The sequence below is a fragment of the Homo sapiens genome, chromosome 3, assembly GCF_000001405.40.
Source record: "Homo sapiens chromosome 3, GRCh38.p14 Primary Assembly".
Classification (NCBI taxonomy): domain Eukaryota; kingdom Metazoa; phylum Chordata; class Mammalia; order Primates; family Hominidae; genus Homo; species Homo sapiens.
Genome location: NC_000003.12, coordinates 193,637,948 through 193,664,312, shown reverse-complemented (window position 1 = coordinate 193,664,312; position 26,365 = coordinate 193,637,948). Strand labels below are relative to the sequence as shown.

At 36.2% G+C, this 26,365-nt stretch overlaps 1 protein-coding gene and 1 long non-coding RNA gene across 21 annotated transcripts in view, besides 1 other annotated feature; one reads left to right on the top strand and one right to left on the bottom strand.

Moving 5' to 3' along the window:
• The window catches only part of LOC102724808 (uncharacterized), a 35,845-nt gene extending 18,787 nt beyond the window's left edge, over window positions 1-17,058 (top strand). Inside the window, exon 5 of the long non-coding RNA XR_924835.3 lies at window positions 17,003-17,058. This is a non-coding gene — a long non-coding RNA (uncharacterized LOC102724808). The remainder of the gene's footprint in view (window positions 1-17,002) is intronic.
• OPA1 (OPA1 mitochondrial dynamin like GTPase) overlaps window positions 1-26,365 on the bottom strand; it is a 104,604-nt gene that overhangs the window by 33,499 nt on the left and 44,740 nt on the right. For 19 of the 20 annotated variants that reach the window (NM_001354664.2, NM_001354663.2, NM_130837.3 and 16 more), the window contains 16 exons: window positions 26,248-26,361; window positions 21,468-21,548; window positions 21,264-21,338; window positions 20,869-20,940; window positions 20,686-20,785; window positions 20,208-20,338; window positions 18,688-18,760; window positions 18,513-18,585; window positions 17,133-17,248; window positions 16,179-16,243; window positions 15,442-15,518; window positions 9,286-9,451; window positions 7,081-7,233; window positions 5,318-5,426; window positions 4,752-4,831; window positions 1,351-1,491 (listed from right to left, as the gene is read on the bottom strand). In NM_001354664.2, coding sequence (NP_001341593.1) covers window positions 1,351-1,491; window positions 4,752-4,831; window positions 5,318-5,426; window positions 7,081-7,233; window positions 9,286-9,451; window positions 15,442-15,518; window positions 16,179-16,243; window positions 17,133-17,248; window positions 18,513-18,585; window positions 18,688-18,760; window positions 20,208-20,338; window positions 20,686-20,785; window positions 20,869-20,940; window positions 21,264-21,338; window positions 21,468-21,548; window positions 26,248-26,361 — 1,626 coding nt within the window. Of the gene's footprint in view, window positions 1-1,350; window positions 1,492-4,751; window positions 4,832-5,317; window positions 5,427-7,080; window positions 7,234-9,260; window positions 9,452-15,441; window positions 15,519-16,178; window positions 16,244-17,132; window positions 17,249-18,512; window positions 18,586-18,687; window positions 18,761-20,207; window positions 20,339-20,685; window positions 20,786-20,868; window positions 20,941-21,263; window positions 21,339-21,467; window positions 21,549-26,247; window positions 26,362-26,365 lie in introns of those variants that run through there. The other variant, XM_047448213.1, reaches the window with a different exon arrangement.
• Window positions 16,526-17,725: an enhancer, noted in NCBI's record as "BRD4-independent group 4 enhancer chr3:193364377-193365576 (GRCh37/hg19 assembly coordinates)". NCBI's record gives its function as "activates an origin of replication core promoter dependent on BRD2, P300/CBP, MED14 and CDK7 cofactors, and independent of BRD4, by STARR-seq in HCT116 cells {active_cell/tissue: HCT116}" and the evidence as "EXISTENCE:reporter gene assay evidence [ECO:0000049][PMID:35650434]".

Genomic DNA, 26,365 nt, shown 5'->3' with positions numbered 1-26,365 from the left:
CAGATGAGGTAAGTGAGGTCAGAAAAGTGGTATCAATTATTAAAGGACATATTATTAGCTAATATAATGGAAATACACTAGAATTCACATGTCCTGATATCTAGTCCATGCAATATTCTTCTCGTGGTACTTTGCTACTTATTTTATAGCTTTGCAAAGTGCACTGAACAAACTGTCACTTAAAAAACCTGAGGTTTTCTTGGTCTTAGAAACTAATTAAGACATACAGTCAATTCATTGCCTAAGACATGAGCAAAAAGTTTAAAAAAAAAATCACGTAACATCTCTTCTATACCACTCTGAAGAGAAAATCCCTCCTACTGTATTCACCAACGTGCCACATAACGTTTAAAAGTGTCAAACTGAATATAACTTATTGTTAACGAGAGCTGGGACCAACAAGAATAAAACCTAAATCCACATTCAACTCAAACAGCTCATGTAATCATTAGCTTTCATCTCATTTTCAATATATAAATAATGCTAGATGTATATAACTGCTTTGAGTTTTACCAATTTTATTTTTATTTTTTTACTTGTTCTGACCTGTGGTGGAATTTAAAATAAGTATACTCATCCCTCAAGTACAGAAACATAAATAGCACATAATCTTTAAAAGAGTTTGTGTGGCTTTGAAATTTGTTAATGATTGCTTTCCCCACTAGACTTATTTTTCTAATTGTGTTCACTTAAGCTAATATTATAAGGAGCTTTTGAATTCCTTACATCTTAACTAAGCAGTAGAGAATGTAGTTTTTAAAAAACGTGGGCCCGAAAGTATTTTTTAAAATTCATCCTCAAAAAAAGCATCATGAAGGTAAGCAAAAAGTAGCCTAAAGTGTAGACTATTTTTATTCTCACATTAACAAAAGAGGACAATGGAGAAAGAACTCAATGGTCATATCCAATTTAATAAAAACAACATTTTTATTTTTTCTGAATCCACTCACATCTAATTGAGTTACATTTGACTGTAAACCACACACAAAAACACATATATATGCCATTTTTAAACAGAAATTCTATTTTGCAATCTGAAACAGCGTGACGTGGGGCAAAGGTCTAGGTCGGTTTCATCCCATTTTGCATGAACTGACTGTTGACCATTGAACTTGCCAAAGTAAATTTCTCCATTTACAAATTAAAGCATTACTCTTAAAAAAGCAATACTGAGAATAAAATTCCTTCTCTTCACGCAATCAAAATGACTAAGCTTTTACTGTCAGCAAATGTACACGTGACAAAAGTCAAATTAAGCACTTAAATATCTAACTAACACATGTAGTAACATTTACTGCAAGAAACAAATATTAAGGAAGCAGATTCCTGCTTCTCAGCAGTATTTATTACCAAGCTTGGATCTACTTCTACTCCTCGGGATTCAAGGTTCTTCCGGACTGTGGTTATTTCATCACTTGCAAGATAAGCTGGGTGCTCCTCATTACATTTCAACATCTTCTCCAATTCATTCTTGGTTTCATTGTGAACACACTTTAAAATGTTTAAAAAAGGACTGTGTTTAGATGGTTCATAATTTGGTGCTTGAAAAACAGTCTCAATTTTAATAAATACATTACTATTGCATAAAAGATAACACAAGCTTAATCACAACAAACAAGAAAGAAACACAAGAAAGAACACAGCACCCCGGCTTATGAATATGGTAAATGGCCTATGAACACAGAAGAATTTGCCTTATGAGAGGGTAGAAAACCCAGGGATTAGCCCTACTTGTTATGTATTTACTTTTGCTGAAATGTTTTTTCCTGTGGAAGTTACAGCACCAGGAATCTTACCATGTATTTTCTTTCTTTCTTGACCGTAGGGTATAATTTGAATCTAGGAAAAAGCACCCTGAATGCATAGGAAGAGCTGATGTTCTAAAATGCTTCATATCTAAGAACTATACTTAAGAACGAGATTACTGTAAGGACTTAAACTTGTTGACATGTTTCTTTTCCAATAAATATAAAATGCATAGCTTGATTTTTAAAAAGCTTTTTCATAAAAAATGGTACTTCAGACTGCTCCTGTGAGGTATCTGTCCTTCTTAAATTCACTTCCAGTCTCTTATCTGTAATTATTCATAATCTCTTTACCAAAGGAGGAAAACTTACCTACACTAGTTATGTTTGATAACAAGATTCTTATACTGTGTTAAATTAATCTTGTCATTTTTCAAACCTCCACTCAAAATTGTATATGATAGAAGAAACTAGCTTTAAATTCAATCATTACCCTAAATAAATTACTAGAATAGAAAATCTACCACAGCTACGAAACTGAGTGTTTTTTTTTGCCCCAAACTCTATCACAGCTATGAAATCTGAGTAGACAAGATTAACACATAAATGCAAACAATTAACTTGTAAATGGAACTACTAATTAATACTCTCTGAAAACTAATACTTCAGAAAAAAGAGCATTTGATAAAGAGAAAGTTCACTGTTTGCTTAAACATGTACTATTCAGTCTGAGATGGAAAGGAAATCGCTGGTAATGGTGTTCCCAAGCTCATCCTGCCTCATGTTTTACTTCCCCCTTTCTACCCATCATTTGACTGTCACCACACTTGGCCATTAGAAGAGAGAACTACTCTTGGATCTATCCTGACCAAAATTTCCATTAGTTTGGCTTAAACAAGGCGAGAATGTTTCAAAGGGATGAATTTTCCTAGAAAACAAAAGAAACACAAAAGCACAAAATACTTTTCAGAGAATGGATTTCTCATCTTTAAGTTTCTTTTCCTGCCAAATCCTGTCATTCAGCTAAGTGAACTTACGATGTGAGACCTAGGGATATTCTCAACCTCTTCTAGAATCCATGTCTCACTGTAACCTCCAGGTATGAGGTTGAAAACACTTGTCTTCAACTGGGAGTGGGAGGGATAGAAAGGATAGAGAAGGAGAGCTTGACTCAATGAGTCTGACATGAGGCTAGCTTTTGAAGAAAAAACAAAACACTATATATAAACACCTCCCCGGGTGATTCAGATGCCCCTCCCTTCTATATTCCAAATTATGGCCTCTGTTCTACAGTCAGCCTGGGTCTCACACATGCTGCCCTGAAATCCTGTGGGGAGAAGGCTCTTCTGTAAAGGGTTTCCAGATTCCTCTTCTAGGCTTACAGACCCTTTGCACTGACTTTAAAGCAAATTCCTTTCTTTCTCTTGAAGGGATTCCCCTATGGGTTTAAGTTCCTGACAAAAATAACTTACGAGCAGGAATCACTTCTTTCAGAGAGTGTTTGGCCAAAGCACATTTACCACCAGTCAGTTGCTGAGGCAAGTTCTGCCACCAACTGTTCTAGAGACTTTAGGCCTAATATCACTAAGTCTTGAAGGCCAGATACCATTTTTCTTTTGCAGTTTATCTCCCTTACAGCAGCTCTTTCTAATCAATGCATCTTCCTCTATCAAAGTCAGAAACCTTGGATGGATCTCTAGAAATTCTCTTCTGACAGACCTCCTTCTCTCGGCCCATCTGTAGAGCAGAGATAACCAACGCACCCTGAACACATGCATGACCCAATCACTAACTGTCTGCTTCCTCAGCTTTGCTTCAGTCTCTTAATGGCTCATTTTTCACAAAAGTCATTACCAAAAAAAAAAATAGTAAAGAAACACAGAGAAAAAGAAGACTGTCTCTTCATTATTTTGAGGAAAGTTGAGACTCACATCTGATAGAGAACTTATGAAACAAGAAATGTGGGAAACTAGGAAAAAAATAGGATATAGATTATACAATTAACTGTATTTAAAATGAAAATGAAAATATAAAATAAAGAAATAGGGACATCTCATTTGGTCAATTTTTATTCCCTTTGTCTCCTCTATTTTTCCATTACTTGATCTCCTTTCTCTAAATGAATTCAAGGAACAAAGCAAACAAGAAAAGAAAATGGATTGGATGCTAAATCTTTTTCATCTTCATTATTTCATTAATTTATGTAGTTAGATTCTATATTCTATTTAGATTCTTTCATTTAAGGAATGAACAAGGAATGAGACAGTGGTATAAGACTGAATGCTAGATAGGAAAAGAAGCTATAAGAATCGGAAAGGAATGAACAGGGGTGGAGGTGAGGGGTAGGGACTTTAATGGTAGATATAGATAAGATAATAAAATAAGGCAAGAAAAATTGTATCTTTTCCCGCCAATCATATTCATTGTACATCCTCTGAAAACCTTACTATTTTTTTCTATTCACAAGTTATTTTCCCTGCAGCTTCGATCTCCCAGGCTCAAGCAATCCTTCCCACCTCAGCCTCACTAGTAGCTGGGATAACAGGTATGCGCCACCACACCTGGCTAATTTTTTTTGACTTTTAGTAAAGAGGAGGTCTTGCTATGTTGCCCAGGCTGGTCTCGAACTCCTTAACTCAAGCGATTCCTCTGACTTGGCCTCCCAAAGGGTTGTGATTACAGGAATGAGACACCGTGCCTGGCCTGTTCATAACTTTAATCTTCCTTTTTACCTCAAACAGGGAATTGAAATGAACAATGTAATCAACCACAAAAGGGGCATGTTTCATCTCTTGTCTTTTAACAACATGGCTACTTCACTTAAAAAAAACTTTCTTATGTAGTTTATTCTTTATTCTAAAGATTCATTATATTTTAGAAAGTATGATATAAAACATTTAATATTCCTGAGACTGGTCTAGAGCCACAAAAAGGTTATATTTTAATGCCTGAATTAAAATGAACAAAATTATATCATCATAAGACTAGAGACTTGTTTATTTCTACCTGTTCTTGGGTCCGATTCTTCCAGTATAACCACCTCTTTTTCCAGTCTGGACCCACCATGTTTTCAATTGCATTTTCAGCTAGAAAAAAAAATTAATTAATCAAGAATTTTATCACTTACACACACACAAATTATAACTAATAATGGTCTTGCTTTCTTAACTATTTCAAAGTGCTATATCAATATGAAGGCAGTTGAAATAAAGGAAAAAACCCACATGACTGATATGGCACATGTGTAAGAGTTTAATTATATATGTGTTTAAGATACCTAAAAGTATAATTGCTTATAAAATTCCTATAAGTACAGTAGCGAACACACTAAAATATTCTGCATTATAGCTTTATAGAATATAAATGCATATAAGCATCATGTGTCCATTTTATTCATTGGTTTTAGTAGTTACAAAGCAGTTGACTAAAAAAATTCCACAAATAATATTCGACTATAGTATTAATGACAAAGACTTTGAAATGTTCAATCTATTTCTACAAATGTTCACTAAAGTTGGATGACTCCTTCACCACTGTGAACTCAGAACTCAATAAGCCGTGTCTCCACTTACTATCCTTGAGACGAGCCTGCAGAGCCTCTTCCATAAAATAAATAGCTGCATCCCATTGCTGTTTATCAGATATGGATCGGTCTTCCAAAGCATTGTGTTGAATAACCCTCTGAAAATAACAAGAAGAGAAAAAGCCAACTTGTTTTACATCTCATCATTTTAGTAGTTTTATTCAAATTGACAGCTTAGTAAATATGGAAAAATAACCATGTATATAAACCAGCATAAAAATATATCCTTCCTATAAAAATGCATAAGCTTCTTTTACTTGCCTGCTTATTTGTTAGCTTGCTATCTAAAAAATAAAGAGTGGAGATTCTCTCCTGGCCCAAATTAAACAAGCTAACCATATGGGGTGCGTGGGTAATATTACACATTTACATTATACAAAATATTACAAATTTAACTACATGAAATGCAACATCTAGAAACCTAAAATTCAGGGTTTAATAATTCAGATCATGTTCATCGCTTTTTGCCATGTGACCTACATGTTAGCCTTTTCAAAAATGAGGAGAAAAAAATTATTAACCATTATTCCCAGTGTTAACAGCAACGAAAAAAGTAATAAGGTAGACATTTAAAAGGTCTATAAAATCATAAAAGTTATTTATTACAGTTGAAAATTGGCTTCCAAATTTTATAATTTTTGGATGAATAAAAATGAAGCTGTTTTCTCAGTAAGCCAGTCTTAATAAGGCATTTAACAAGAATAAATATGGTTTTCTTTCTTTTTTTTTTTTTTTTTTGAAAACGGAGTTTTGCTCTTGTTGCCTTGGCTGGAGTGCAATGGCACGATCTCGGCTAACCGCAACCTCCCCTTCCTGGGTTCAAGCAATTCTCCTGCCTCAGCCTCCCGAGTAGCTGGGATTACAGGCATGCACCACCATGCCTGGTTAATTTTGTATTTTTAGTAGAGACGGGGTTTATCCACGTTGGTCAGGCTGGTCTCAAACTCCGGACCTCAGGTGATCCACCCACCTCGGCCTCCCAAAGTGCTGGGATTACAGGTGTGAGCCACCACGCCCGGCCATAAAGACAAACACTTCTTTAAAACAAAATTATAATTACAACCAGCTCTGCATTTTCCCAGAAAATCGCTCAATCCTGTAATTCAACAACACCTCTAGTAACTCTCTGAGCACAGCAGGCACTTAACAGATTTGATTTTGGTAGTGAGAGCAGTCTACATAACAAAAGATTTATCAGGTGGTGTCAGGAACCAGGCTTTGCCATTAGAGAGGGGCTTGAATCCCAGCTCTGTCAATGACAATAACAGGAGTGGTTAAGAATTAAATCAAATAATGCTTGCAAAATACCTAGCAGAGTTCCTGGCACATAGTAAGCATTCAATACATGGTAGCTGGTGTTATGATTTTAGGCGTCTAACATTTTATAATCCACTGAAAACCAACGCATGTAGTTCCTTTCATTATCACAGAGGGTAAAATTAGAAGCACCTATCTACAGACAGGCCCATAAAATGGCTAACAGATGACAATTTGTAGAAGTTTATCAGAGTCTGTTTACTGCAAAGTTTTACTTTTTTCTGAAATGATAGCCAAGAAAGAAACAGCAACAGGTGATTTTAGAAGGGCAGGGAAATATTAAAGGGCAGATTACAGATCATAAATCTGTTTCTTTACTTCATTATTTTTAATTCAGAATGTAATTTAGTCATATAAAGTCTCCTATGAAAAAGTATCAATTTGAGAAGTTATATAAAAATATGAGGCTGATACCCCAGTATACAAACAACATACCAAGCTGTCCTCCGCAAAGTCATTCCACTTGTGTCGTTTAATACTTTCTTCCTTAACAGCCTCTTTAAGTTTATCAAATATGTCATCATGCTCTTTCCCTTTCGGTTCTGTCATAAAGCGGGAAAATTCTTCTTGTAGGGTCTCCCAAGCAACCTATAATTATTTGAAAGAAAAAAAGCCATATTATTACTACATACTTCAATGGTTAACATGAAAAATAACACGAGCTCAAGCCAAACAGATGTGATAAATAAATCAGCTTATCAGAAAATATATGTGAAACTACATTAACAAAAAGGCAAATATAAACCATGATGTAGAGGTCTCACACGGGTTGCTGGGGACAGATATGGCTTCCTGGTATGTTTTCCTAGACATGTATAGCGGTTCTCATTTTTAAAATTGCATGCTAATATTTAAAAATTGAGAGATTTCATATAAAAGTCTGCATTTACGGCTTCTCTTGGACTAACTGAGAAGGATATACCCATATTCCTACATGACACCACCTACTGTAGCTGAACAGGGCTGTCTCTTCAAGATAAGGTATGTATTCTAAGCCTGCCACCCAAGTTAGTTCATTTATTTATTTCAACCTCTAAGACATGAGTCTGACTGCTTCTTTCACACTGCAAAAGGTTTTAAATGTCTTAATGATTCAGTCATCTTCATAGCTTTGTCTTTAAGCAAAGATATGAAGCAATGCACCAACACTTTAAAACATAGCCGAAGAGTATTCAGCTTTGTATTATAGCTAACTCCTAATGATCTGAACGGTGAAAGGAAGAGCACAGTGTCAAAAATAATGAAGAACAAAATCTACTTATAACTATGTGGGCTTTTTAATGCTGGATTTTAGCCCTCTCTCATTTTAAAAAAGAAAGTGACTGTCCAAAAATACGGAGTGAGTGGTGGGGTGAGTATTAAGATCCATGTTTCCTGACCTTCTCACCAGATCTACATTCTTTCCATGACACCTAGTGCTGAGGGACAGAAAGCAGCAGTGGAAAGAAAAATTGATGCTTTCATAACCACTTCCACTGCTTGAACCTTAGGATGTGAAAATATCCTATCATGGGACAGGGCGCAGAAAAAATGTTAGTGCCAGTAATGAGAGCTACTGAAGGGGTAGCAGCAGCTCTCTAACTTCTTCAGGGGTAAATGTGTCAAGAACTGCCAGGGCTCAGCAACGTGCAACTTAGGCAGGGAGGCTGCTGGAGTTCTTAGAAAGGGGCTTGAAGAAATTGAGAACAGAGATAAGGAAGTTAACACTGGAGCAAGATAGGAAAGGGGTGAAATCACATCCGAATAATTAGAAACTGACACTGCCTTTAAGATAGGTATGAAAAACAAAATTACTTTTAACATTGACTTCAATTTTGTGAGCAACCTCACACACAAGCACAGGACACACTGACTCTTAGCTTGAACAATCGCTGTTTATGGGGTGATGTACATGATGGATCAATTCAGATGATGAGGACCATAATAACAGCAGGTCCATTCCCTGAGCAGTTACCATGGGCTGGGCATTGTCTAAGTATTTTACATATAATTACTTACTTAATCCTTATAACAATGCTGTGAGGTAGGCAACATTATTGTCACCATTTTATAGATGAAAAAACACATAGGAAAGTTAAGCAACTAGGCAAAGGATCACACAGCTATTAAGTGATAAAGCCAAGATACATGGTAGCAGAAATAGATTCTTTAAGGTAGTTTTTTGTTTTGTTTTGTTTTGTTTTTTAATAATTCCTAGTTTAATCTTCTGTCAGGATCCTAAGAAAATGATAATTTAAGTATAACTGAGCTCAGATGAAATGCTTCATCTATTAAGTATTTTCTTTATGGAATCTCTATAATCCACAGAATCCACAGAAAATGTTCAAAATATTTCACATTCAAGCAAATACTCAAGCAAATATTTCATATTCAAGCAAAATTTGCTTGTTAAATATTGTCTTTGGAAGAAGTACCAATACCCTCAGGCCAACATCATACCAATTAGTAAATTTTTATAACCGTAGTAACTGGTAGCAACATTAAGGTTAGTCCCAAAACAGAGATGAGGAATAAAGAATAAATGAGATATAAAGACCTAAAAGAAAGATAGAGGCTGTGATGGGAATAAAATCTAAAATTCACAGCTCCTACTCCCTTCAGATAATGCTTCTTACCCATTTAATTAAATTATATCCTAACCTCTACTGCTTTATTAGGAAGTTGTTTATCAGTCCACTGTTTAAGCTTGATATCCACTGTGGTGTTAAAAGTTCCTGAATTCATGGTCTGCGCAGCTGGAAGGTAGATGTTTTCAATCACATGAGTTGATACTCTTTCCCACAAAGATTGTTGAAGGATTTCCTCCCTGAAATAAAAAAGTATCAAAAGCACCAAATCTAAATATAATATTGTTTTTAAAAACAGCTTGACTGAAGTATCATTAACTTATAATAAACTGTACATATTTAAAATTTTGATAAGTTTTCACATGTGTATATACCTGTAAATCGCACCAGTCAAGATAATGAACGCATCCATCATCCTCAAAAGTTGTAACCACTGGAACTGCTTTCTGTCACTGTGATTACTTTGTATTTTCTAGAAATTTATATAAATGCAATCATGTGGCATATACTCTTTTTTTGTCTTTGTTCTTCCACTCCAGCATAATTATTTTGAGGTTCATCATGCTGTTGTATGTATTAATATTTCACTTTTTTTTTTTTTGAGACAGGGTCTTGCTTAGTTGCCCAGGCTGGATGGAGTACAGTGGCACATTCATGGCTCACTGGAGCCTCAACCTCCTGGGCTCAAGCCATCCTCCCACCTTATCCTCCCGAGTAGGTGGGACTACAGGTGGACGCCATTATGCCTGGCTAATTTTTTAAAATTTTGTAGAGATGGGGTCTCACTATGTTGCTGAGGCTGGTCTTGAACTCCTGGGCTCAAGCAATCCTCTTGCCTTGGCCTCCCAAAGTGTTGGGATTACAAGTGTGAGACACCGCATCTAGCAATATTTCACTTCTTTTTATTTCTGTGTAGTATTATGTTGCATGAATGTGTTTATCCATTCTTGTGTTGATAGACCCTTAGGCTGTTTCCAGCTTTTGGCTACTACAAATAAAGCTGCTATGAGAATTCACGTACAAGTCTTTCTTATGAACACATGCTTTCATTCCTCTTAGGTAAATACCTAAGAGTGGAATGTTTGGATCATATGGTAATTACATGTTTAATTTTTTTTTGAAATGTTTGCCTCAGTTTACATTTCCACTAGCAGAGAATGAGAGTTCTAGATCCTCTACATCCTTGCCAACACTTGGTATAGTCTGTCATTTAAAATTGTAGCCATTTTAGTAAGTTTATAGTGGTCATTGTGGTTTTACGTTGTATTTCTCTAATGACTAATAATTCTGAGCATCTTTTCATGCACACTTATCTGCCTAGTATTAACATATACTTCATGTGCTTACGGGAGAGTCTGAGACTGAAAATTTCTTGGTATAAATATGACAACTTATCAGATCACAGCACAGAGATGTTATAGAATGCTGTAGATAAAATTTTTCAATAATTCATGATTAAGGTAACAATGTAAAAGATGCATAATCATGTTGAAAATTCTGCCTTGAAAGACATCTTAAAAGAACATGGGTCACTAATAAAAAAATACAACTATTTCAATTTGAAATCTCAAGGAAATATTTATTTGGGTAATAAACTTAGAATACTACAATATAAAAAAAAAACTCTGCTTATCAGGGGATCCTTCTTAAGAATAATCTCAACCCTTTAGGATATAGCCACAAATCTCAGGGTAGCAGAAATATCCTGCTGTCCAAAAGCCCAGCTGAACTTCTCTGGTGAGGAGAGTCAACATCTCCTACCCTCCAAGACTATTTACTAAACATTTTGTGTAAAATTAAGTCTACTGAATCAATCAACACAGATCCTGGTTTCCCACTGCTAACTTTCAGGTCACTTTCCAGTTACAACCAGTAAAGAAATCAGAGTCTGAGGAGGATATATGACTGGGGCCCAAAAGGACAAAGACAATTTAGTCACTGAGTTAATGACAGAGAGTGGGAGAATTTAAGGAGCAAGATGAAGAAAAGCAGCCTGTCAGGGCCTCCTCTTCAGATACCACTTTATACACAATCTCAAGAAGATTACTGAAAGTTGAACTGAAGACCAGGATCCAGCCTCTGACCTCCAGGGCTTTTTTCTCATCCTGCTTCAGAAGAGACATAGTCTGTTATTTTTCCCTGGAGTCTGTGGGCCAGGAATCCATATCCCTGACACCCTTTTTAAAATCCTGATTACCAAATCCCGAGAAGCTAAAGGCAACTTTCTCAAGGGAGGTTGCTGCTTTGACATCCACAGATGCAGCTGTTATCACTTCTCCTTGCCCAGCCTCTCCTGCCTTTCATCGCCAAGCTGCTGTCCTCTGTCTCAGACTCCCACTGCTCCCCTCCATCCCAACAATTTCTGTTGTGCTCCTGTAATACCCGGTTCCATGACAAACCATTTTACACTCTCATTCTCTTTCCCTATTCTTACCTCCAAACCTTTCCTTAAGGAAAGTGATTGTCCTCTGTCCTCAAATTCTGCTGAGATGAAGCTATTCAGCAGTTAAATGGCCTTCAGAGTTAGAAAGTAGAAGTTAAGTCCTCCTCACCCCAGTCTCTCTTCTGAACCATCAGTTCTCAATGTTCATATAAAAACCATTACACTGTGAAGCCACTTCATCTAGTTATGTCATCTGCTACCTTATTGCTTGCTGCTATCATCTAACAATTTTCCCAGCCTATATTCTATGGTTTTTTTTTTTTGTTTGTTTGTTTTCAGACAGGGTCTCACTCTGTCACCCAGGCTGAAGTGCAGTGGCACAGTCTCGGCTCACAGCAACCTCCGCTTCCTGGGTTCAAGCGATTCTCCCACTTCAGCCACCCAAGTAGATGGGATTACAAGCGTGCACCACCATGCCTGGCTAATTTTTGTATATTTATTAGAGACAGGGTTTTCACCATGTTGCCCAGGTTGGTCTTGAATTCCTGAGCTTAAGTGATCCGACCATAGGGGCCTCCCAAAGTGCTGGGATTACAGGCATGAGCCACCGTGCCTGGACTATATTCTGTGTTATTATAGGTGACTTCTCTATTCCAGGTTTTGCCATCAACCAGGGATAACTTCTACTAATACACAAAATATAATTAGCAAAATATAATAAAGGTAATAGTTTTATTGCCTTCTTTATCTACAGAAACTTTACCTACATTCCACTTTAATTAAATTCTTTTTAAAATGGATTTTTTTTTATTTTAAAGTAGAGGACTATTATACTCCATATAATAATTTCAACCAATACAGAAAATGTAAGAAGTACCCCATAGTTCCTCTTTTATAAGATAACCACTATTTATGGTTTTATTATTAAAAAAATTATGTCTACGTAACTATTTGTGTGTATTTACACAAGTGGTTCATAATTATACATACTGTTTTATAAATCCCTTTTTTAAATCTAAAAGTATATTGTATTTAGTTTTCCATGTCAACATCCTATACTTTTCAAAGGCTACTTCTATCCATAGAGCAGTAATCTGCTCTATATAAACCAAATACTATATAATTCCAAATGGGACACATAAATTGCTTTCCATTTCTTCACATTTATTTAAAAAATCAAGGTGAAAGGTCTTGTGTGTTCATCTTTGTCAAATATATCATTTGCATATATTCCTAGCAATGTAATTACTGAATATAAACATACTCATTATTTAATAGACTCTTCATTATCTACACAATCACTAAATCCTGTCAATTCTATCTTTTAGGTAACCTCTCAAGTATCTCACAAGTGTCTCTTCTCTACCTGTACTACCACTCACTATCCAAGTTTAAGCCATGATCACATCTTGCCTAAATTATTGCAAAAGCCAACTGCCTCCTTGCTTACAGTTTTCTCCGCCTGTATTCCATTTTGCCTACTACAAAGACCTTTCTAAAATGCAAACCTGACCTAATCCTCTTCAGTGACCACCCTCCCCCTACTGCTTATGGAATACACACTAAGCTTCTGAATATGGTTAATAAACCCAATATTTTGCTTACATCTACTGTTTTATCTCCTGCCTCTTGCCCCCATTTATGTTAAAGCCACAGGACACAGCTACCTGTGTCGCCTTTCTTGTTCTCATCTCGTGGCCCTTACCATATTCCTGCCTCTGCCTTAACACTTATTCATGTTTTAAATTTCAAATTATGATATTGCAAATCTTTGATTTCTGAAGTCCGAGAATTTCTAAAAATGTACCATAGTAGCATTTTTAGAAAAAATGTATTTCTGTGAAGCTAGCCAGCTATCCTTCTAGAAAAGATATGTCTACATTGCTGGTCACATGATGTTAATGATATATCAATATCTCCTTCTGAATGTCAGTGATTCACTCTTGAAAACCAGGCACAGCGTAAAAATGCTGAGTGAGTATTTCCTACTATAATGTATTATATGTCAAATCTATACCCCTAATAACCTTCCTAAAACTTAACTGAAGGACAGTGGAATGTCTAAAGGAAATAACAAACTGTCATGTTATGACATAAAATGCTTTTAACACTTTCCAGATAACCAAATATAGATCAAACAGTCTTATGACTTAAATAATTGTAAACATTTTAGGCAGTGTCCTAAAATATCACATAGGATTATTCAGCAAAAAGATACCAATAAAAACTTCAAGACAACATCAACTATGTCAAAATAATAAAATATGTGGAAAATATTTGGGGTGTAATGTACTTGAATTCAATGTGGTATGAACAGCTAAGGCTTGGACCTGCTACTCTGATTTATATTTGCGTTAACATAACATTTTTTCAGCCTCTACAGTCTGAAAACACAGAGAATCATATATGATCCGGCAGCTTACACAAGTAAATCTCTAGCAGCCAGATGTCCCAGATCTGACCGTTGCCTTTTCAATGGGCAATCTGGTGGTATGCGTTCACTGTCCCCTCACAATTCTCTTCAGTTACCTTTGTATTAAATAAATTACATTTATCTTCAAGGCTCACTTTAGTGAAGAAATACTTTGATTTCAGGGTTGCTCTGTCCAAACAAAACTAACCTTTCCATTTGATGATACCAAAAATTAATTTATAGAAGGACCACATTTTCTCCCCATAAACAGCATTATTAGTTGTTACAGTTTACATATCACTTTTATATACATTAAATGCCCTCATACAATCTAGCAAGGCAACTAGTATTATACTCAATCTGTAAACCTATATATCTCTTTGTAACTTGAAAGCTGACTGACACAAAGCCATGGAACTGGGCTAAGATACAAATAAACAAACATAAGTTGTGTCATAACAATGTTTGATTAATCAACAAGAATAGATACAATTAGATCTCTTTTTTTGGATAAGGAACGGAGATTAAAAACAGGCAAATGTGGACTACTTGAAGATAGAAGAGGTTTCACCACTGAGGAAGAAAGGGCACTGAAATGAGGAAACTAGTGATGCTGAATTCAAACAGACCAGATACTACTATCTAGGCTCACTTTTGATAACCTTTAACTGAGTGAATAGACTAGGTACAGAAAATATTTACAATGAATGGCAGTGAGGATAGCTCTGCTCCAAAAATAAATTCTTAAAAATACCACAGTCTTCATTAGAAAGATAATTTCTGCATGAGGAATTTGTTAATTAACATGTGACTACAAAAATGTCAAGGCTATTTATACATAGCTTGTTTTACCGTGTCTCATTCCACTGAATTTAGGAATGGCCAAACTTACATAAAATATAAACTGAAGGTAACAGTTTGCCTTAGAAAAGATTAACATATTTTTCAAAAAGGTGCATTTACTTGCTATTTTTAAAAATTTCAAGTATTAATAGCATTAAGTTCAAAATGTGATTTGTATACAACATATTAACCACATGTTACAGAAAGCACTAACTGTTCTTACTCAGAATGGAGAACCTGAAAATATATACCAACTCCCTTTATAAATCAATTTTGACAGGTTGATATTTACCTAAAGTATAATTTGACAAAACTTCTGCCCAAAGGATTTTACAGAAATCATGATTACGTATTTATTAGGTATAAGATAAAGAAAAGGCAAAGAGAATCAAGATTTAAAAAGAACATGAAGAAATTCAACTGGTTAGACTACAAAAGTAGTTAGATATTGCCAAAAAAATATACTATTACGTTTTTGCCTATGAGCCAAGGCAACAATAAATCACTGCTTTATCAATCTAAGTTTTAGCATTTCATTATAACCTGTACAGTAAAGTCTTTCAGAAAAGAGATTAATATCAAATACTTACCAATGTTTTGGTGTAACCTGGCTCAGACTGATAACTTCATCAAGGATTTCATTTTTAGCTTTTTCAAATAGTTCATTCTAGGCAATATAAATACAAGTAAGTAAGATTTCCATAAGACAGTAAATTTACCCTGTCATGATTTTCAGAGATAACCAAAGGGAGGTTTTTGACTAGGCTGAATTTGGGTTTAATTATACATGACTAGCAAAAATGCACTTCTAGTGTTTTTTTTTAGGAATGCCATTATGCAGATAAGGACAAAGAAACTGACATAAATATCTACCTTCTCAAGTTTGAATGCAGTTTTTCACATAACACTTGTTCACGTTATGTGAAAGCATCAATACATATTAATTTAGTACATCAGTAACTATATATTAATGCTGTGTTTTATTAACTAATGGGGATTTTAAAATCAAGGAAAAACAATGTTTAATTCCCACTAAATTACAGGAATACACGAATTCTACAAAACCTTTAAAGCACATTCATTACCTTCTCAGAAAACACTTTCAACACTTGTTTTGACATCTTATAATCCATTTTTAATGTTATATAATAAATAATTTAAATTACTGAAAGAGATAACTGCTCCTAGAGATGTATTCTTACAAATTAGTAGTTATAGTCAAAACCAAAGTACTTTAGCTTATCAGATTTTTCTCTCAACATAAATTTAGTTAGCAAACAACATTAAATTAAGATATATACAAAATACACGAGTATCCAAATATTACCCGGTCAAGTTCCCGCAGGCGAGGATAGTTATTCTTCCATTCAGTTTCAAGGTTAAAACGTGTTGCTGAGGAAGAAGGAAAAGTTCAAGTTTGATGACCCTCCTTCTTTCCAGATGTAGTGGTTAAAGTGGTTAAAATACATATCCTCTGTATTAACTGAATTTCTGAGAGTGCGCCTATGACCCCTTAGTACTCTGGGATCTCAACGTCTCAGAATTTCATTTTTGCAATAGCTTTCAAAACTATTCTCCCTGATTCTAGTTTCTCCATGTTAAATCCATTAGCACACAGCTGAAGTAGTTTAGTACCATAGAGCTGCTGAGAGAATGGACTCTGCAGTTGTACCACCAACAGCCAAATCCTGGGCCTATTACCCATGTTGTGTGACACTGGGTAATAGGATAAGTTATTTGGGTAAGTAACTGTCTTCTGTTTCCTCTTCTGTAAAATGGAAATGAAAGTAATACAAGATTGCAGAGGGACTAACTGGCATAAATAGGTAGGATCAGGTAGGATTTACATATGGGAAAAGAGAAAGCAAATATATTCTCTTCCGATAAAAGACACTGAGCAGGAAAGTGTGGGATTCAGGAAATGGTGCCAAGTAAAGGAAGTTCAGAGGGCTCTGCTTCCCAACACATCTGCTCCTTCATCCTCAACAGGGTGAATCTAGAATTCTCTATAGTTTATTGTGTACTTCCAAGCACTAGCAAATGTTCTCATCTGTTTGAACTCTGCAAATGTGTTTCTAGAGATGTTTCCTCTGAAAGGAAAAATCTTGTTCTTGTATAACAACTGAAGGTTTGTATTCTTCTATTTTCCAGATACTGTCTAATTGTAAATGAACTACCAAGCAACTGTTAAAGGAAAGAAGTACAGAATCGTATGGATGCCAAAGATTGCCAGCTAATAAAATGTCTTAATTTGCTTGCTTCTTTAAAAAATCCAACTTACCTTTGAAACTATCAGCCTGTTGTTCAACAGACTCTCGTACCATTTTCCAAAAGCAGTCTGATACTGCAAGGCTTAAATTTCTTGTAGTCACTTGGTGTGCCTTTAGCATGCTTGTCCTATTAAAAAAAAATAACAAGAGCTAAAGTATATTAAAATGACAAAAAGGACAACAATACTACCACCAAGTCTGCGAATGTGCTTGCTAACAGCCACTCTTACCTTTCATACCAGTGCTGTTCAATAAAAATTTATGTGAGGAGGAAAACATTCCAATACGGTAGCTACTGGCACACTGGGTTATTGAGCCCTGGAAATGTGTGGCTAGTGTAACTGAGGAACTGTATTTTGAATTTTGTTGAATTTTAACTAATTTAAATTTAATGTTATATTTTATTTTATTATTTTTTTGAATTGGAATCTTGCACTGTCGTCCGGGCTGGAGTGCAGTGGCGTGATATTGGGTCACTACAACTTCCGCCCCCCACCCCCTCGGGGTTCAAGCGATTCTCCCGCCTCAGCCTCCTGAGTAGCTGGGGTTACAGCTGCCCATCGCCATGCCCAGCTAATTTTTTTTGTACTTTTAGTAGAGATGGGGTTTCACCATGTTGGACAGGCTGGTCTCAAACTCCTGGCCTCAAGTGATCCGCCTGCCTTGGCCTCTCAAAGTACTGGGATTACAGGTGTGAGCCACCATGCCTTTAAAAAGAACATGAAGAAAGCCATCTTCCAGAAATTAATTTAATTCCAACTAATTTAAATTTTAATAACTACACAAAACTAGTGATACCATATTAGACAGCACAGTTCTATATGTTGTCAGTGCACTCCCCAAAGCACGTAAGATTATGGTTTGCAAGAACTATCTTGACTTACCGTACTAACCTAGGAACAAACATACTTTTCTATTTCCAGAAACTCAACATATAAAGTTTTAGTATACAGTAATACAACTGGCCTTTAGCTCTTTTTGCTTATCTTATCTCCTGTCAATATATATCTAGGGATACTTCTTCGACAACCCCACTCCAATCTTCCCCAATACTGTAAGAGAAATATGTACACGTTTAAAAGTGAAAGCGTCGATTTTCTAAAACCACTTTATAAGTAAAATAAAGTAAGAGGCAGATATCTATGTTGTCTTTCAGTGCCCACGTCCAAGGAAGCATGCCAGTATGTATTGTACCATGTGATAAACTGCTCTCAATTCTGCCAAAAAGTAGCTAAGGACTTGTTTATTAGATACAGTTCACTATTTGGGAAAAATTCTAGAAATCCGATGTTAAACTAATAGTTATAAAACCTGATGTTTTAAGTGAAAACAGTTCAATTTAAGCTACTCTCTTACTGTAAAATGTTTAAATGTTTTAACAAGATACCTACTTTAGGAGCTTTGAATTCTGAAAAAACTCTTCTTCATATTCTCTTATAGCTTCAATGCTTTCAGAGCTGTTCCCTGGGGAAGAATGATGGTCAAATTTTCATCAAGAAAATTACTCTTTATTATTTGAAAACAACAGAAACTAAAAATAAGTTATTATAATCCATCTTTGCATACCTTTTCCTGTTACAACAGCAAAATAACCTAAAGCTTTCATTGGGAAGAGCTTTCCTTCAATTATCTGCTGAATCTATTTTTAAAAGTGGGAAAAATTAATGTGAGATATAGTTTACATAAGTTTTAAAAGCGTAATATACAATTTAGAAAGCAAAATAATGCTATACATGTATATAGTTAAATAAATCTGCACAAAAGCATTTAAAATGTTTTTCCATTGCTATTTGAAAAAAATACATTTAATTTTACTACATTGAAAATGTATTATTAAAACACACGTATCGAAAACCCGGAATGATGTGTAGTTCTTTAAAGTCAGACAGACCTTAGTTTGAATTCCTGCTCTGCTGCCTAGTAGTTATGCGACCTTAAGTAAACAACTTAATTTTTTCAAAAAGGTTGGTGAGATTATGGGACAATATGATACAGTGCCAGGCATGAAGCACTCAATAAATGGTAGCTATTATTATTTTTCCATACTTTCTTCAAATATCTAAATTCTAACCAAGCTGGATTGTCTTCTTTTACTCCTTCCTCCCCTCCCACCTTCTTCTTTAATATTTGGATCCACTGCTTCTCAACTCTTTTAGGATCAAAAATCCATTTCTAAATGTGACTAAAAAAAAAAAAAGACTATGTACCCAGAAAAATGCATATTTGCATAGAGACCTTTCACATATGTTAGAGTTTCTACCCCCTGAAGCCCATTCAGATTAATAATGGGATGAGAATCCCTCCTTTAAGACAAGTTACACCTAAGCTAATGCTGAATCTTTTATACAAAAAGGACTGAAATAAGCTTCAGTTGCATCTCAGAAGAAATATAAACTCACTATCCTAGAGTTGAAAGAAATGAAAGGAATGAAGAAAGATGGGGAGGAGGCCACAGAAATTTGTTTCTACCTCACTTCTCCCCTTCTCCATATCAGAACCATTAATGCCACGGCAGGCCTTACCCTTAAAAAGAAAGCAGAACAGAGGTTATGGTGGCTACCTAGAAAAGGGTTAACACAGCAGGCCTGAGACTACTGTCCTTAAAAAGGCCTGCCTGTCTTTGGCTGGTATCTGAAAACTTAACTGGTAAACAGTTCCCTACACTGATATAAACCTTTCCTTATATAACAGTGGCTCACTACTGAAGTAATGTGGTTTAATTATAACATATGCTTTCCTTTTGGGAGTATGAAATAATTTTGGTACATGAGGGTGCCGAAATGACTAACCTCCGATGAAAACCTTAGGAGCTGAGTCTCTAACAAGCAGCTTGTTGCTGGAGGAATTAAATGTGCCCAGTAGAGTCTACTGGGAATGAACTAGTGGAAAAACGTGAGCCTGGTTTCCTTCAGACTTCATACCATGTACCATTTCCTTTTGTGATTTTGCTTTATCCTTTCATTGTAATAAATCTTAGTTGTAAGGTGTTTTTTTGTTGTTGTTGTTGTTTTTTTAAATAACAAATCCCTATCACAGCTGGAGCTTTTACAAAGAATCTATTCTCGCAACAAAGAATTTGACCTCACCCTGCTTGGACTGGCTACATTTTTCTCTGCCAGGTCTACTTTGGTCAAAACGAATATGGTTCTCCTTCCATGAGGGTCCATTTGACTGACCAAGTCTGTAACAATACTGCGTTCAGCATCCACAGATCCATCTGAAAAAAATAAAAAAATGACACTGTGGAATTTTAAGATGTAAAGTAGACTTTTAAAACTCAGTACAAATTATACCCCTGTGTCTACATTATAGCAAGAAAGATTTTAATACATTTACGTTATTTACTAAAAAGAAATCCTAGCCGATAAAAATTTCAATGATGCTTATGTAAAACTTATCAAAATAATTTCAACTTCAATTTAATTTACTAATAAAATGAATACGAAGAGAAGGCAAAAATGCATTTATCTTGTATGTTTACATAACACAAACTATTTAATGCAAAGCTTGGATTGCTAAAGAAGAAAACATATCAGTACATTAAAATCTTTTGATATGATTTACCTTGAATACACAGTATGATGGCATTAGGATTCTGCATGTAAGCTTTGCTGATACTGAAAATAGTTTCCTTTGTGTCAGGAGCCATGCCTGATGTCACAGTCTTAAAGAAAAAGGTTTTAAATGTCATTATAAATGCTTCACACAATAAGAATAAAATAAAATACATGTTTTGTATATACTTACATTAATCACACCTGGTAAGTCAACAAGCACCATCCTCTGTAGTCCAGGGCCTTTTACATTTAAGGATATGGTCTACTCAGGAAAAATAAAAATAAAACAATGCTAAAGTTTGGGGGGAATTTGTCAAGAATTTTTTTTGGTGAAATGTATTCTAAAAATTCTATATCTCATCCATTCAGATAAGACGCTCACAAAAATGGTATTCTTTCTCTGATCCTAAAAGTAATTATTCTGGAAAATTACCCACAAAATGATATATTATTTGGATTTTTTTTTAAAAGCTCTACATATCTAGATAGCAGCAATCTAAACATCAATACCTAGATTTTGATTTATTTGAAATCATAAACATTTAATTTCCATAAAACGTCACTGAAATGAATTGCAACCCTTACCTCAGGGCTAACGGTACAGCCTTCTTTCACATTTTTCCTCATTCGAAGTTCTATTTCATGTCTTAATGCTGCAAGCTAATGGAAAACACAAAATCCTAAGAAAATCTAAGAAAATCTTAATTCACAAATATTCTTTAACTGTCTTTTATAAGCTCATCCAGGTTATAAAATTACACATATCAACCTTAGATGAATTTTACTTACATCTTCTTCTTTGGTAAGATCAAACTCCCGAGAACTATCTTTAAATAGGGCCACATGGTGAGGACCTTCACTCAGAGTCACCTGATAGTAACAGAAAACTGAGAGGTAATGATGTATTTATAAGTAATATTAATTCCCACAGCCCGTATGTGGTCTAGACAGGGCTACTGCATTGCACAAATCCAAGAGTCCCTTCACACTACTGCTGGGGCACCCCCTGAAGCTGTCAACATGGTAGTTCTGACAAGACAATAATTTTGTATTTGTATTGTTTGTATATATGTCATATATGTTGTGATTTCCCAACAAGAATGCTGGTTCCTTTATATCGCTTATGACCTAAAATGCTGCTGCCTCTTTCTTTCCCCAGTCAATGCTATACACAGCACTAAGCCCAAAATCATCTCTCTAAAACTTGAAACACTAAAAGGAAACCTTGCATTTAACCTCAAAGATGAATTTAGGTAAAGGACAATTCATTCATTCAACCTCTATAGAGAGTGAACTATGTGTCAGGTGTTGTAGGTGGGGAAACACAGAGCTGACTGTCCCAGTTTTAGACCTCATCACATGCTGGGAGAAATATACACAGACATAATAGAAGAGAGTGACAAAACCTAGGGTGCCACAGAAGAGAATGGAACTGATGATAAGGGAGCTACGACAGGCTTCACTCAAGGAGTGATATTTGGGTAAGAAATTTTGTTTTGTTTGTTTTTTTGTTTGTTTTGAGACCGAGTCTCATTCTGTCGCCCAGGCTGAAGTGCAGTGGCATGATCTCGGCTCACTGCAACCTCCACTTCGCGGTTTCAGGTGATTCTCCTGCCTCAGCCTCCCGAGTAGCTGGGATTACAGATGCCCGCCACCACACCTGGCAAGTTTTTTGTACTTTTAGTAGAGACAGGGTTTCGCCATGTTGGCCAGGCTGGTCTTGAACTCTTGACCTCAGGTGATCCGCCCTCCTCAGCCTCCCAAAGTGCTGGGATTACAGGCATGAGCCACTGCACCCAGCCAAGAAATGTTATAGCAATGTATATTAACAGTCAGTGGTTTCACAAGAACTTCTAAATGCCTAATTGACACCTTTCTAGCTTCTCTATAGTTATTTTACTTTAAAAATACAATTCCTTCTACTGAGATTAGCTAAACAGGCTAAATTTAAAAACAATAAACAGCTGTTGGAAAGCTGTTTAGCTATTTTCCATCAGAGGATTTGCTGATTTGTAGCACAGGGCAAAGGCCCAAGAGAAAAACTTAAAATGTGTAGCAGTTTCACTGGGTTGAGTAGACAAGATTGGAATTCCGAGTTATTAAGTAGTCACGTCTTAAGGTGCCACAATCCCAAAGAAAAATGAACTGCAGAAATAAACCTCCAAAACAAAACAAAACCCTACATCCTGCGCACAATTTCCTTTCACGGCATTCACATTTTAGGAAACCAAGCAGAAAGAAGCTGCTAAGGAGGTTAAAATGCTAAGCTGGGGTTTTGGCACTTTCACTGCTCTAGGGAAACAAAAAACTGGAATTCAGGGTTGGTCAAGGAGAAGCTCTAGTAAACACTAAGGGACTAATGACAAACCGGAAAGAGACCAGCCTCATCTGTTTCAAGGAAACCTGTCCACACCCTGCCTGCCAAAACAAAATTAATTTCTTCTTGAAGTATCATCCACAGCTTCTACAATTAGGATGCTAGTAACAATGTAAAAGGTAGGTTTCTCTCCCATGTTTTTACAACTGATTATTGAACAGGATATGAGGTGTAGTCTGAGGTTCATTTTGTTTTTTTCTCTAGGTTAGATGTACCCCAAATTCCCATCGGTAGTAAAATGGATATGTAAAGTCTGGTACAGTCACACAGTACCACACACAGAACTAGTAACACATAACACGATTCAATCCATAGCTAGACCCACAAAAGTGCAATCTAGATGAATCACACTAGGCTGCCCATACCCTGTTGCACTTGTAAACAGATTTCATTTCTTGAAGATTTCAGCATCAGCCTCACTGTCTTTCTCCCACTATTCTTGCCATAATTCTTGGTAATTTCAATCTTCCAATTATTCTACACCTACCCCCCACCAGCTAAACATGAAAAAAACAAAACACAATCATAATGATTCATTTAAAATTTATGTCCACAGAACTTAAAGGGACTTCAGTCCACCTCAGTAATCCTAATATCACTTGACTTTCTCCACTGATTCACTCCTAGAGTCACCACGATCTGTTAACAGACTTCACTTTTTCTTCCTGCCTCAGTCTTTAATCTCTTCTCCTTTCTAATTAACAGCTGATCATCTGGCTTAGTATTTCACTGAGTAAGCGGAAGCAATCAGAAGGAAACTTCCACACGTTCCCCTTTCTTGCCTCCACTGGTGAACTCAACGACTGGTTTCTATGTTCACCTTCCTTGATGGATCAGCAGCATGTGACCTCACTGAGCACTCCCTCCTCCTCCATGTTTTCTTTTTGTTTACCTGACTTTGCGCACACTGTCCTGCTCTGCTTTCCCTCTTACTATACTGGTTGGGCCTTCACACATTCCTTTGTTATTTTCTCTTCCCTCAACATCTTAATGTTCAGAGTGCCCAGAATATACTGCTTGCTTCTGTGTTTTCTCTATCTCTACTCACTCCCTTGAAGATCTTCTCCAGTAAGATCATGACTTTAAATACTACTTTTAGATAGTTGATCATGACTCCTAAATGTATGTCTCTGGCCCACACCTCTGTCTAAACTTGTATACCCAACTGCTTGTTATCACCACTCAGCAAGTCCAAAACTGAACTCCTGATCTTCTTCCCCCAAACCTGATCCACTGACAGACTTCCATGCAAACTACATCCTTCAATTTGTTCAGGCTAAAGACCCTGGAGGCATCATTGATGATTGACACTCTCTCTCTCTCTCCCCATTGCTTTTCTTCTCTCCCCTCTCCATATCAAACCTGTCAAGAAATCCTGTTAATTCTACTTTCAAAACACATTTATAATCTATCCATTTCTTACCAGTTTCACTGCTACTTCCCTAGCCCAAGTATCACCTGGATACTCCAGTAGCCTAGACTCCCTGGTTCTACATCTTGGCTACAACTATTTTCAAAAGAGCAGCCTTTTAAAAGGCACTTTTGTTACTTTGCTCGAAATCCTGCACTGGCTTTCCATTTTACTTAAAACGGAAGTCTGTACAATGGCCTATAAGGCCTTATTGATCTGTTCCTCCCCGCTCTTCATTATTCCTCTAATGTCATCATTTGCCCCGACCATGGCTAGCTCTTCACCCCGACCTGACCACACAGGCCTCTTTGTTGTTCCTTGAACATGACAGCCACACAACCACCTCAGAGGCTTTGCATCAGCTATTCTCCTTGCTGAACACAGGATATCCTCAGGACTACTCCCTCACTTTCTGCAAATCTTGGTTCAAATGCCACCTTATCAATGCAATCTATGAATACTCTGGCACCCTCATTCTCCTTGCCTGGTTCTGCTTTTTCTTGTTGTACAACACTATTGCCTTCTAACCTACTATACAATTATGTATTATATTTATTATCTATTATCTGTCTCCCTCTACTAGAACATACCCTCCATTAAGGCAAGGTTCTTCTTTGTTGTTGCTGTTTACCAACATATTGCCTAGAATGCTACTGGTACATATTAAGCATTCCGTAAATATCTGTTCAATGAAAGACTCTGCAGCCCCATACCTTCTTCCTGTGACCCTGGAGAAATTGTCAGTGCTCCCAGATATGGACTAGTACACCAAGTCACAATCTCCTTCACCTCAGTAACTTTGCTCTTGCAATTTTCCCTCTCTCTTGCATCATTTCCCCCCTTTATTAGATCATTATAATCAGCATATAAACATCTTTAATCCTTTTCCCACTTGCTCCGACAATATTTGCCAGCACCGCTTGCAGCTGCAGCATTTGCCCCAACATAACTCTGCCATAAAATATCTTCACTTTTATGATTATTTTCACATAGCTCTAGTGTACTGACTTTGGAAACAAAAGACATTCTATTTCAAGCATTCTGTTTTTAGTAGCGGTACGTCCATTTACAAAATATAGTAATTTTCAATAGCTGAAAATGTCAAATCCTAGAAAATGCGGAATTCCTATGTGTGATGTTTACATCATTCTCAAAAAGTTGTTGGCCGAAGATTGATTTGATAAATCTGACTTTTAAAAAACAGACATTCTGATGATTGGGACGATTCTGATGTTAGTACTGTTTAGAAATAACTCTAAGAACAGTTTTTATATTTTATTTTCACATTGAAAATTAGTCAGATTTGCTTCAGCTTCAGAGAGTGTGTTTACGTAAAATTAAATGAGCACTGGTGTTGAGCTGCACTTTTTTTCTAAACAGGAAAAGGGTTAAAAACCTTCCCTTAATTCAACAATATTCAATTGCTACTGCTTCATTTCTCTGCTCTTTTGTCACAATAAAACTAGAAAATTATCTATATTCATTGACTCCACTTCCAATATTCTCATTCTCTTAACTTCTCTCTTATCTTATTCAGAATAAAATCCAAAGGCCTCCCAACTGGGTCTCTGTCATCCTCTCCTACCACTCTCCCCTCACTCAGCTCCTGCCACACTGGCCTCCTGGCTGTGCCTTCTACTGATTTCCACACTAGGGATCATTCCAAACACTATGTATCAAGTCTTTCTTTGGTTAAAAGTCCTCATTTCAACACAATGAACAGGTCTCACTGAAGCAGTTACTCTCCTAAGGAACCTCACTGAGACGGCCTATGTTCTTACCTTAACTGGAGAACGTGTCATCATCTCCCCAGATCCTCTTGGGAATATTCGAGCTTGGGCAATCATTTCCAACACACTAGTCTTTCCAGCACTCTGATCTCCAACCACAACAACCTTC